Source organism: Homo sapiens, chromosome 13 (genome assembly GCF_000001405.40).
Source record: "Homo sapiens chromosome 13, GRCh38.p14 Primary Assembly".
Lineage (NCBI taxonomy): Eukaryota > Metazoa > Chordata > Mammalia > Primates > Hominidae > Homo > Homo sapiens.
The window spans coordinates 95799571-95813745 of NC_000013.11; the positions used below are offsets into that span (position 1 = coordinate 95799571).

Consider the following 14175-nt stretch of genomic DNA (forward strand, 5'->3'; position numbering starts at 1 on the left):
TTTTTGTATGGCACAGCAGTTTGTATGCATGAGAGCTCTTGACATAACAGCATTTTTAAAACAAGCCATTTAATTAAAACATCTCACTGTAAAGAAATACCTTATTTATAAATCTGGATTTTCTGGTATAAGGTGTCACTCACCTGGAAATGTAACATGTAAACTGGCCACTCAGATCACAAGATGCAAACAGGGAGGGGGGCCATCAAGACTGTGTTTACATTGTTCTGTAATTTTAGCTTAATACTCCATGAAAATATGGGACCTAGAATACTGGAGAAGGCCATTGTAGGTAATAAAAGTAGGAATCCGGTGTCTCTGCCCAGCTGATCATCCTTTCTATAAGATTCTCACAGAAGTGAAGACAGGCTGGTAACAAAGGAAAACAAAGTACCATCTTATAGTTGAGGTTTGTGCCCCAGCCACCGCAGCAGACCTCTGGGTAGCTGGGTGGAGCATCTGGCCTGACCTAGAACCTTACAGAGTCTCACCTCTTACCAATCCCCAGCTTCAGCTGACTCCCAAGAGTGAGCCGGAGAGCACCATGACGCTGGCCGCCCCAGGACCATTTACTGCTCCAGCCTCTGAGTGTACCCTATAGGATACTCTGAACTCACAGGAATAACCTAGTTCCACCAGAGCAGGCCATAAATGGTGCACTCCATTTTAATACAGACAAACACGAACAAGTAACAAAGGGAGGATGACTGCAAGAGGGAGAGGCAGGCGCTCTCTTATTAGGAATGAATGGAGCTGATGGGAGGAGTAGTATTTTAACTCTATGGGCTGTTCTGTCAAACACAGAAGGATTAGCCTTGTTCTGAAAAGCTCACAGGAGTGAGCTTCGGCTCATGATGGAACTGTGTGTACAGAGCTGTCCAAAGATGGACCAGCCTGTCTCTAGAGGTGGAGAGTTCCCTGTTGTCCTGGAATTTCCAAGATGGCCTGAGGCTCAGCTTTACAGGCAGGGCCTTAGAAGAGGGGCCGGCACACTGGCTGGGGCCCAATTCTATTAAATGCTTCTCAAACTTGTCTAATTACAGAACCATCTGGAGAGCTTTTTAAACAATCATGATTTACCAAGCTTACTTTAGACCTAATGAATCAGACTCTCCACAGGATGAGGTCCAAATGGCACTGAGTTCTCTTCCAGTCCCATGATCCTATGATTTTAGAATAGTTGGATAGTTTTTAAACATTTACTATTATTCATCTATTATTAATACACATCAGAAAAACAAACTGGTTACATCCTCAACTTAGTTCCCATAAAAGTACCTAGTCCTTTTAAAAAGAGAATACACATATATCCCACATGCCCATAAATGCTTTTTATGACATAAAATTAGAAACATTAAAAAATCCAAATACCGCATAAGATTAAAACATTGTTTAAGATAAATGATTACTATGCAACAATATTACTTCCATTTTAAAACAATAGTTAAGGAATAAATGGGCTTAATTATTAATTATTGTTGTCTCAGAAGGAAAAATACAAAATAGGTTTCTGTAATTTTAAATGCATTTCTGTAATATTATTATTGTTATTATTTTTTGAGACAGTCTTACTCTGTCGCCCAGGCTTGAGTGCAATGGGCGCAATATCGGCTCACTGAAACCCCTGCCTCCCGGGTTCAAACAATTCTCCTGCCTCAGGCTCCCAAGTAGCTGGGATTACAGGCGCCCACCGTCACGCCCAGCTAATTTTTTGTATTTTTCGTAGAGACGGGGTTCTGCCATGTTGGCCAGGGTGGTCTCAAACTCCTGAACTCAGCTGATCCACCTGTCTTGGCCTCCTAAAGTGCTGGGATTACAGGTGTAGCCACTGCACCCAGCCTAAATGCATTTCTGTAATTTTAAATGCATTTTGTGAATAAGGAAATGTGGATGCACATAAAACCAGATACAAAAGGCTATAGTTTGATAAACACCAGCTAGTCCGGTACCTGGGCTATCTGGCAAAATGTCAAACTTTAACTGGTGATCAGGAAAAAGGAACAATCAGGTTTTAAATACTCAATGGTCATTTATTATATAACTTAAACTCATTCAATACATTAAATAACTGTTTTAAATAATTACAATTTTTTAAAATTAAAGAATATGTCACTGATCTTAACGAGACTTCCAAATCGTCTCAGCAGGGGCTCCAGACTTCCCCAGCAGGCGGCAGGTTTCCTGTCATGCTTTCGCCTTCCTTCTCATATACACCAGTGCTAGAGTTCATCATGTGTCAAAACTATAAGGGAGAAAAGTTTATTTAGCTTCTGGCATCTTAAACATAAAAATATCTTAAATATTACTTACATATGATGAGGAAGCACCGGTACTGACTGAGGATCCTTTATTTGCTAGTTCAGTACCTATATGCTTCATTACGCAACACGAGAATAGCTCTTTGTACACTGTGATGTCTATTATATTGTCTCATAACTACTGGTCTTTCTACCCACCTAGAATGTGAGCTCCCATGAGTCTATGAGGACAAGGAACATACCTTACTTATCTTTGTTATCTTTAGGATCTAGCATCCTGCCTGGCAGATAAGAGGTCTTGAAGAATACTAACAGATTATTCACTGTGAATACAGTATTCTACCCTTAATGTAATGGAACAACAGAAAGCAGAGGACATATTAATATATAGTCGTCATCTAAGATGGGAGGACACAGCACTCTGACATAGACATAAGTACTACATAAATGCAAGCACAATTCTGATGAGACTCTCAGAGAACAAAATGGTCTCTTCTGCATCACTGAGCTGTCACATACCAACTGATGTAAATCACTGAGAACTCAATATTTTCAGGCAGAAATTAAATAAAATACAATTTAAATGCATGCTGTTCCACAATTCAAGATGGCAGACTATATTTCTTCACTAAATTCTACTGGAAAGATAATAAATATAAAAAGGAAAAACAATAATGAGAACGAGGGAAGTGGTTACAAGACACTTGTTGGGGCAAAGTTACCAATGAATTTCAAGAAATGGGAAACAGGGATAGACTGCACGAAACAACTTCATCCCAGGATACACCGCTGAAACGATGAGTTGGCTTTCCTGATGGAGGAGGCTGGACGAGGCTATAACAAACGCCAGTGGACAGTGAGTCACACAGTGAGGCTATCAAGTAAAGGGCCGTCCGTGGAAAATCTGTGCCTGTCAGCTCCCCACCCCACTCTCATTCTTCTGAATCCAAAAGAGAAACTGACAGCCTGGTATTAGCTATCCTTTTTTGTTTGTTTGTTTGTTTGTTTGTTTGTTTGTTTTTTGAGACGGAGTCTCACTCAGTCGTCCAGGCTGGAGTGCAGTGGTGTGATCTCAGCTCACTGCAAGCTCCGCCTCCTGGGTTCACACCATTCTCCTGCCTCAGCCTCCCGAGTAGCTGGGACTACAGGCGCCCGCCACCACGCCCGGCTAATTTTTTTGTATTTTTAGTAGAGACGGGGTTTCACCGTGTTAGCCAGGATGGTCTCGATCTCCTGACCTCGTGATCCGCCCGTCTTGGCCTCCCAAAGTGCTGGGATTACAGGCGTAAGCCACTGTGCCCAGCCGATAGCCTGGTATCTATTCTAAGATAAAAAGTGGAAGTCTATTCTTGAAAGAAAATTGAACAATTTTGAGAGAGACAAAGAGGGAGAAATAAAGGGTGGGAGAGAGGGGGAAAGAGGTTTTTGGTTTATTTATTTATTTTTTTGGAGACGAAGTTTCACTCTTGTTGCCCAGATTGGAGTATAATGGCGTGATCTCAGCTCACCGCAACCTCCGCCTCCCGGGTTCAAGCAATTCTCCTGCCTCAGCCTCCTGAGTAGCTGGGATTACAGGCATGCGCCACCACGCCTGGCTAATTTTGTATGTTTAGTAGAGACGGAGTTTCTCCATGTTGGTCAGGCTGGTCTCGAACTCCCGACCTCAGGTGATCCACCCGCCTTGGCCTCCCAAAGTGCTGGGATTACAGGTGTGATTCACCGTGCCCGGCCGAAAAGGGGTATTTTTATATGAGTGTCTGCTCTTGAGTAAAGCGCCCTCATTTGGGCTTTTGGGGTGGTGTACAGGATGGGCTTTGATCTGTTCCATGACCATACACCTAGAAGGAAGCCTGCCAGTTGTACACCGTGGGTTAGTTAGTAATTAACCCTCCCATTTGGGGAAGGCTCTCGGAGAAACACATTTAAACCCTGGCAGAGGAAACCCACACCAGTTATTATATTGATCAATCTAACATTTCATTGTTAAATATATACAAACAGCCAAAGATCTCCAGGTTTTTGAGGAAGACCAGTAACAAAAGAAAAAAGGGCCAAGATGAATACATAAGACAGCTTAAACAAAAAGGAACTGAAAAGAACTAAAGCAATATTCAAAACAGTTCTAACTGGTATTTCAGGGGATATTAGAAAAAATCCACGAAACCATAAAACAAGAACAAAATGAAATTAAAAAGAAGCAAGCAGGGAAAAGAAAGATCTGTTAGAAATTAAGAAGTGATTACCCCTCTAAAATAAATGAATAGAAAGATTGAAGATAATGTCAAAGAATTTTTTCAGAACACAAATGAAAGGAAAAGATAAACAAGAGAAAATATAAGTACAAAAGATCTATAGGACTAAGAAGACAATTCTATTTACAGTAGCATCAAAAGGATCAAAATAATTAGGAATAAACCTAATCTAGGAGGTGATACATGTGTATACTGAAAATAACAAAAAATTGCTGAGAGAAATGAAAGAAGACACAAATAAATGGAAAGACATTCCACATTCATGAGCTGGAAATTTAATATTAAGATGTCTATACTACCCAAAGCAATCTACAGATTCAGATTCAACAAAATCCCTATAAAAACCCCAATGATGCTTTTTATAGAAACAGGAAAACTCATTCTGAAATTCATACAGAATCACAAGGGATGCCGAAAATATTGTGAAAAAGAATGAAGTTGGCAGATTCACATTTCCTGATTTTATAACATATTACAAAGCTTCAGTAATGAAAACAGTATGGTCCCGGCATAAAGACAAATAGCCCAATGGAATAGAGAGCCCAGAAATAAACTCTTGTGTATATGATCAATTCATCTTTGATAAGGATGCCAAGAATACTCAGTGGGAAAATAACAGTCTCTTTCATAAATGGAGTTGGGCAAACTGGATATCTACACACAAAAGAATAAAGCTGAACTCCTATCTTACATGACATATGAAAATTAACTAAAAATGGATTAAAAACCTAAATATAAGACCTGAAATTATAAAACTCCTGAGGAACACATAGGGAAAAATCTTCATGACACTGACATGGCAATGACTTCTTACATATGACACCAAAAATATAACAAAAGTAAAAATAGATAGATGGGATTATATTAAACCTAAAAACCTTTGTGTATCAAATGACACCATCAACAGAATGGAAAGGTAACCTAGCAAATAAGAGAAAATATCTGCAAATCATGTATCTGATAAGCCATTAATATTTACAATATATAAAGAAACCCTGCAACTCAAAAACAAAAAATCAAATAACCTGATTAAAAAATGGACAAAGAACTTGAATATACATTTCTTCAAAGATGATATACAAATAGTCAGCAAACATAAGAAAATATGCTCAATATCACTAATCATTAGAGAAATGCATAACAAAACCACAATGAAATTATTACCTCAGACCCATTAGTATGACTGCTATAAAAAAAAAAAACCCAGAAAATAAGAAGTGTTGGTGAGGATATGGAGAAACTGGAACTCTTTTGCACTGTTGATGGGAGTGTAAAATAATGCAACTGCTATGAAAAATAGAGGTTCCTTAAATATTCATATGATTTGGCAATCCTATTTCTGGACATACATATCCAAAATAATGGAAAGCGGGGTCTCAAAGAGATATACACACACATGTCCATAGCTGCATTACTCACAGTAGCCAAAAGGTGAAAGCAAACCAAATGTCCATCGATGGATGAATGGGTAAACAAAATGTGGCAATATATATATACAATGGGATTTTATCCAGTCTTTTAAAAGGGAAGGAAATTCTGTCACATGTTACAACATGAATAAATCTTGACAATATTATGCTGAGTGAAATCAGCCAGTCACAAAAAAATAAATACTATATTATCCCACTTATATAAAGTATCTAGAGTAGTCAAATTCACAGAGTAGAATGATGTTTGCCAGGGGCAGGGAGAGAGGGGGAAGGGGAACTGTTAATGAGTATAGAGTTTCAGATTTGCAACATGAAAAAGTTCTGGAGTTCTATTTCAAAACAATGTGAATATACTTAACATTACTGAACTTAAAAATGGTTAAAACAGTAAATCTTGTTACGTGATTTTTTTAACCACAATGAAAAAATACATAAAAATGGTATAGGATTGAACCAAGAGGTATAAAAATCCAACTAGTTAGAATCTTGGACAGAGAGAACAGAGATAAGGGGGAAAGAGATTATTAAAAAAAAAAAAAAAACACACAGTGGAAAAAAAAAAAGTCCAAGGCTAAACAAAGACAGGAGTCATTAAACACACAAGCAGACAAATTTATGGGATGCAATAAAAAAAAGTGATCAGGGAAACTTATAGCTGTAAACACTAACATCAAAAAAGAAAAAAGATGTCAATTCAGCAACCCAACTTTGTAGCTTAGGGAGCTGTATGTAGCTGGTCAGGCAGGAATATGGGTAGCCTGGGCATCAGATTTATGGTTGATATCTGAAGTGGGGCAGTCCTGCAGGCTGGGCCCTTAATCTGTGGGGTCTGAAGGTTAACTCCAGGAGTTAATGTCAGAGTTGAAATGAATTACTGGAGATCCAGTTGGTGTCCAGTGAATTGGAGAATTGGTGTTAGAAAAACATTACATATTTGTTGTCAGGAAGAAAGAACATCAGACGGCAGTACTACTCAAAGTGATCTACATATCTGATGCAATCCCTATCAAAACCCCAATGACACTTTTTGCAGAAACAGAAAAACCTAAAATTCATATGAAATCTTGAGGGACCTTAATAGCCAAAACAATTTTAAAAAGAAAAAAAATTGGACTCACTGATTTCAAAACTTACTACAAAGCTACAGTAATTAAAACAGTATGGTACTGGAATAAGAAGAGACATATAGACTAAAGGAATAGAGAGCCCAGAAATAAATCCTTGCATATATGATCAAATGATTCTGACAAGGGTGTTCAGACCATTCAATGGGGAAATGACAGTCTCTCTAACAAATTGTTCTGGGACAACTAGATAGCCATATGCCAAAGAATGAAGTTGGACTCCTACTTCATATCATATTTAAAAATTAAAGATAGATTTAAAAATCTAAGTATAAGACCTAAAACTATAGCGCTCTTAGAAGAAAACATACATGGAAATCTTTGTGAATTGGATTGGGCAATACAGTTGACCCCTGAATAACATGGGGGTTAGGGACACTAAACCCCTGCACAGTTGAAAATCCACATATAACTTTTGACTCTTTAAAAACTTTACTAATAGCCTACTGTTGACTGGAAGCCTTAGAGATAACATAAACAGTTAATATATTTTGTATATGTATTATATACTGTATTCTTACAATAAAGGAAGCTAGAGAAAATGTTAAGAAAATCATAAGAGAAAATATACCTTACTATTCATTAAGTGCAAGTGGGTCATCAGAAAGGTCTTCATCCTCATTGTCTTCACATTCCGTAGGCTAAGGAAGAGGAGTTGTTAGTTTGGTCTTGCTGTCTCAGGTGGCAGAAGTGGAAGAGGTGGAGGAGGTAGAAGGGGAGGCAGCAGAGGCAGGCACACTCAGTGTAACTTCACAGAAATACCTTGTAATTTCTGTCTAATTTTTTTGTTATTTCTCTAAAATCCTTCTTCTGCTGTTTGCTTTAGTTTCAGTCTCCATATCATAGAGGGATCCATGTCATAAAAAGCAAAAGCAGTCTTTAATAATTGGAACTCTTCTGCCAATTGTCTAATGTCAATTTGTTTTCCGGCACTGCTTCTATGTCTTCTTCCTCATTGTCTGGCACTGGTTCAGAAGCACTCATCTCCATCAAGTCATCTTCTGTTAATTCTTCTGGTGTGGTGTCTTCTAGCTCTTTAATTTCTTCTAGAAATCCGTATCTTGAAACCCTCAGCCCTCACCTTTTTTTTTTTTTTTTTTTGCCGTATTCACAATCTCTTTCATGATTTCCTTGGTTAGCTTTGTCGTAAATCCTGTGAAGTCATGCACAACATCTGGGCAGTTTTCTCCAGCAGGAATGTATTGCTTGGGGCTTGATAACTTTCATGGCTTTTTCTATAACAATGATGGTATTTTCAATATTATCATCCTTCCAGACTTTCATGTTCTATCAGGGTTCTCTTCCACGGCACTGACAATCTTTTCCAAAGAGTACTTTGTGTAACAAGGCTTAAAGGTCCTTATGACACCCTGATCTAGAGGCTGAATTACAGATGTTGAGTTTGGGGGCCGATAGACACCTCCAGTGTTGAACTCATGGAGTTCTGGGTGGCCAGAGAGCATTGCCCAATATCAAAAGAACTTTAAAAGGCAGTCCCTTACAGGCAACATACTTCCTGATCTCAGGGACAAAAGCATTGATGGAACCAATGCAGAGAAAGGGTTCTTGTTGCCCAGACATTCTGTTGTACAACCAAAAGACTGGCAGCTGGTATTTATCTTTATCTTCAAGGCTTGGGGGTTAGCAGCTTTATAGATAAGAATATTACTGATCTTAAGACCAACTGCATTTGTATAAAATAATAGAGATAGCCTATCTCTTCCTGCAAATCCTGGTTTTCATTTCTCTTCCTTACAAATAAATGTCCTTTGTGGCATTTTTTTTTCTACAAACAGGGAAATTTCATCTTCATTAAAAACCTGTTGAGGCAAATAATCCTTTCTCCTCAGTGATTTTCTTTTTTTTTTCTTTCATAATTGAGATTTTATTGGTTGGGTCGAGGATCAGCACACAGACATTTCAATTTGTACACAATTCTTCACATATGTACCAAAAATCTAAAAAGCCATGTATTGCAAATTCTTTGTGAAGTTACTCTAGTGACTTTCCAGCTTAATATCCGGAGGCAAAATTTCCTTAAGAGGCTATCACGTACCAATATCTTCACATGTTGATAAGCTGTTAAATACGTCCTACCAATTCATAACTGAATAGCATGTACACTACATACTCAAATTTTCATTCACAGCACATTCACAAAGTTATTGGAAAACAGGACTATCACAACTAAATATGTTACAGAGTGCACACAATTCAGACAGGGAAATCCACGAATATGGAGTGGTTTTCTTTAGGAAACAATTCTACTAAAAAACAACAAGGGAACAGAAGTAATTTAAGATGTTTAAGACATTCAGTACAGGACCGTGACTCCATATTGCTGTTTAGTATGCTTTGTATTATAGGATATAAAAACTAACCCCCCATCTATGGAATGTTAACCTGACACCTAAGATAGTCAAAGCCTCCTATAATTCAATATCTCACACTATTTTCTGGTTGTACCCAAAAATAAACTGGTGAATGATTTAGCTCTTTTTAAAAAAAGCATTTACACTTAAAAAATGGGATGAGGTGGGATTCCTTCCTTCTTCAAAATGTTTCTAGAGCTACTAAAAAACTTGCATTTACAAAATAGTTGATAAAAATATTCCTCTGAATTGTACAAGAAGGGAGACAGGAACCACTGATAAGACATGGTATAGGATATTAATCAGACTTGGCTTCTTTCTCTCTAGCTTCATTGGAGGCTGAACTCTCCACGGTTTTTGTTTCTCCATTTTCTGCAGGCAAATCTTCTTTACTTTCTTGATTAGCCACTTCAGCCCATTTTCCCTTTGCTCCTCCTTTCCCTTTTGTTTGCACGTTCTGTCTGGAGATTTACCCTTTTCTGCTGCCTTTTCTGGCTTAGTTTCCACTTTCGCAGGGGCAGGTTTAGCTGACAAGTGTGCAGATCTCCTCTCATGAGCTACTCCTTCGCTGTCCCTTCGGTGGAGCTGACCTTCCTCTTGGCATCCTAGCAGCAGGGAGGGTGTGTGCCAAGTGCCTGCAGGCTGCAGCCTTTCCGCAGCCTCAGCACACTGAGAGAGACCCTTAGCAAAGCTGGGCTGCCTGGCTGCTGCCTCTTGGTTGGCAGGAGCTGCTTCTCCTATTATCTTGACTTTTAAAAACCAAACCTCATTCTAAAATTATCAAACCATCCTTTGCTGGCATTAAATTCTCCAGTTTTAGATCCTGCACCTTACTTTTGCTTTAAGTTGTCACATAATGACTTTTCTTTTTCTTGAATTATATTAGTCTACAGGTAAGCCTTTCTTATAGTAATCCTGCACCCACATAAAAGCTGCATTTTTAATATGAGATAAATAGGTATTTTGCAAGAATTATAAAGTTTTGGTGCTGCTGACACAGCTGCAGTGACAACTTCACAAAATTTTCATTTCTTTTTTCAATGGTCCTTACGCTGGATACATTTATCTTGAAATGGATAACCACATGTGACGACCTCAATCTGTTGTACATATCAAGCAATTCGACTTTTTTTTGTAATATCATGGCTTTCTTCTCTGCTTCTTGGGAGCACTTCCGGCATCACCAGTGATAATCCATGACTTCATTTGGGTCCCATGGTATTATTCAAGTTTTATGGTATTGCACTAAACACGGTATGAACTGCTCATGTGGAGATGATTAGTGTTTTAAGCAGATACACCACTTGAGCTCACTCCAACAGCAACAGGAGGTGGCTACGATATTATTACAGTAGCATAGTATATACTACAGTTAATTTTATGTTTGTTTATATTTCTCAACTGCCTATGATGCCATGTATGGTCTGTGTTTGTGTGCATACATTTATCAATTTTAACTTTTAATAATAGACTTGTGGATATTTTATACAGTAAATAATAAAACACACTAGTATCTACATATGTTTTATGCATTCATGACATACCTAGCTTTTTAGTCTTTTCAATATTTCTAGGCTACATGGTTCTTCTGCAAGTTTTTTCAAATTGTTGCAAATATCCAAAAATTTTTCCAATATGTTTGTTGAAAAAAATCTACAGATAGGTGGACCTGTGCGGTTCAAACCTGTGTTGTTAAAGGGTCAAATGTAGTTTCTTAGCTATAGTACCAAAAACACAAGCAAGGAAAGACAAAAAAACCTGAGTATCAAAAATATAAACATTTGTACCACAGAGGACATCATCAAGAAAATGAAAAGACAACCAAAGATGGGAAAAAATTTTATAAATTACACCTGGTAAGGTACTTGTATGTAAAATATACAAAGAACTCTTACAAATACACAACAAAAAGAAAACACAATTCAAAAATGGGCAAAGGATCTCAATAGATATTTCTCTAAAAAAGATATACAGACTGCCAATAAGCACACAATAAGATGGTGAACATCATTTGCCATCAGGGAAATGCAAATCAAAACCACAGTGAGATACTACTTCTCAGCCACTATGATATTTTTAATCAAAAAGACATAATAAGTATTGACAAGGATGTAGGGAGATTAGAATCCTCATATACCTCTGGTGGAAATGTAAAATACAGCCAGTGGTTTTGGAAAACAGTCTGACAGTTCCTCAAGTGGTTAAACATAGAGTTACCATATGACCCAGTGATTTCACTAAGTATAAACCCAAGGAAAATGAAAACATAATATCCACTTAAAACCTGTATATAAATATTCATAGGAATATATTTTAACAGCATAATGCTAAGTGAAATAAGCCAGTTACTAATTATGACACTGGACAATCCTATCCATGTGAAATCTCTAGGCAAATCTGTGGAGACAGAAGTAGATTCGTAGTACTTTATAGATCAGTTGTTCAGGGTCAGGGAGATAGGGAAATTAGGGCGTGAGCTAAAGAGGACAGGATTTCTTTATGAGGTAGTGAATATGTTCTAATTTTGATTGCTGTGATGGATGCACAACTCTATGAATATACTAAAAGCCATTGAACTATACACTTTGAATTAGTGAATTGTAAAGTATGTGAATTATATAACAAAGCGGTAGATAATTGTTTAAAATGCAAATAGAAACAATGTAATATGGGATTAATAATATATAATAGTAAAATGCATTATAACAATAGCATAAGAGAAAAGAGGAAAAAACAGAAGTATAAGGTTGCAAGGTTCCTACACTATATATGAAACAAAGTAATATAATTTAAGGCTGACTATAGTGTGTTAGAGACATATATTCTAAACTGTAGAGAAACTTCATTAAAAAATAAAGGGAGTATGGCTAATAAAATAATACTGGAGATAAAACGGAATTTGAAGAAAAAAACCCAAAACAAGGCAGAAAAAGAAGGAAAAAAGGCATAGGGAGCACAAATCAAACAGAAAAATAGGAAATGGCTTCTTTAAATCCAATCATATCCATAATTACAATAAATGTAATGCTTTAAATGAAAGGTTAGCAAACTTTTACTGTAAAAAGACAGATAATAAATATTTTTAGTTGTGGACTGTGTAATCTCCACCAAAACTATGCAACTGCCACTGCAAGCACAAAATAGCCACAGATAATACATGAATGAATGAGCAAATCTATGTTCCAATGAAATTTTAGAAAAACTAGAAATTTGGATATAATTTTCATGTACCACAAGTTATTACTCTTTTGATTTTTTCCAACCATTTAAAAATGTAAAAACAATTCTTAGGAGCTGTATAAAAGCAGATTTACCCACAGAACACCCTTGTATAAATTGGCCCACCCTTGTATAAATACTACAGTGACAAGCAGTCTTTAAGATTGGATAAAAAGACCCAACTATATGCTCTCTGCAAGAAACCCACCCTTATATACTAACAGATTTTAAGTAAAAGGATAAAAAATACACTATGCAAACATTAAAAACACAAAAGCTTGAGGGTCTATATAAACATCAGATAATGCAGTCTCCAGAATGAGAGATTACAGGCTAAATGTATAGTTTGAATTTTTGTCCCCATCTATATCTCATATTGAATTGAGTTGTAGTTCCCAATGCTGGAGGTGGGGGCTTGGTGGGAGGTGGTTTGGCTCTTGGTGGCAGTCCTTCATGGCTTGGTGCTGTCTTTGTGATAGTGAGTTCTCATAAGATCTGGTTGTTTAAAAGTGTGTGGTATACTGTACCCACCTTACTCTCTCTCATCTTGCTCCTGCTTTCACCATGTGATATGCCTGCTCCCACTTCACCTTCGCTACCAGTAAAAGCTCCCTGAGGCCTCCCCCATTTATGAGGTAGTGAAAATGTTCTAAAGCTGATTGCCGTGATGGATGCACAACTCCGTGAATACCCTAAAAGTGATTGAACTATACATTTTGATCGGTGAATTGTATAGTATGTGAATTATATCTCCCCAGAACCCAAGTGATGTTGGCACCATGCTTGTACAGCCTGAGAACCATGAACCATAAATCTCTTTATAAATCACCCAGTCTCAGGTATTTTTTTATGGCAGTGCAAGAATGGCCTAATACAGAAAATTGGTACCAAGGAGTGGGACACTGCTATAAAGATACCTGAAAACGTGGACACAACTTTGGAATTGGGTAATAGCAGAGGCTGGAAGAGTTTGGAGGGCTCAAAAGAAAACAGGAAGATAAAGGAAAGTTTGGAACATCTCAGAGATTGGTTAATGGTCGTGACCAAAATGCTGATAGTGATATGGACAGTGAAGTGAGCTCTCAGATGGAAATGAGGAACTGGCTGGGAACTGGAGCAAAGTCATACATGTTATGCTTTAACAAAGAACTTGGCTGCATTCTGTTTGTGCCCTAGGGATCTGTGGAAGTTTGACTTCAAAGCGATGATTTAGGGTATCTGGTAGAAGAAATTTCTAAGCAGTAAAGTATTTAATATGTGTCCTGGCTGTTTCTAGCAAGCTATGCTCAGATGTGGGAGTAAAGAAATGATTTAAAGTTGGAACTTTTAAAAGGGAAGCAGGGTGTAAAAGTGGAAAATTTGCAGCCTGGCCATGTAGAAAATAAAAGCTTGTTTTCAAAGGAAGAATCCAAGCAAGCTGTGGAGCAACCACTTGCTAGAGATATTCGCATAACCAAAAGTGAGCCAAGAGCTAACATCCAAGACAATGAGAAAAAGTCCTCAAAAGCATTTCAGAGACC

General features: G+C 37.5%; 1 protein-coding gene and 1 pseudogene across 3 annotated transcripts in view; both read right to left on the reverse strand.

The window, feature by feature from the left end:
• Nucleotides 1-2009: 2009 nt before the first annotated feature.
• Nucleotides 2010-14175, reverse strand: part of UGGT2 (UDP-glucose glycoprotein glucosyltransferase 2) — a 251822-nt gene continuing 239656 nt past the window's right edge. For all 3 annotated transcript variants that reach the window (XM_047430471.1, NM_020121.4, XM_011521097.2), the window contains one exon: nucleotides 2010-2242. In XM_047430471.1, coding sequence (XP_047286427.1) covers nucleotides 2220-2242 — 23 coding nt within the window. In that variant the 3' untranslated portion in view covers nucleotides 2010-2219. The remainder of the gene's footprint in view (nucleotides 2243-14175) is intronic.
• HMGN1P24 (high mobility group nucleosome binding domain 1 pseudogene 24) lies at nucleotides 9548-10169 on the reverse strand (annotated as a pseudogene).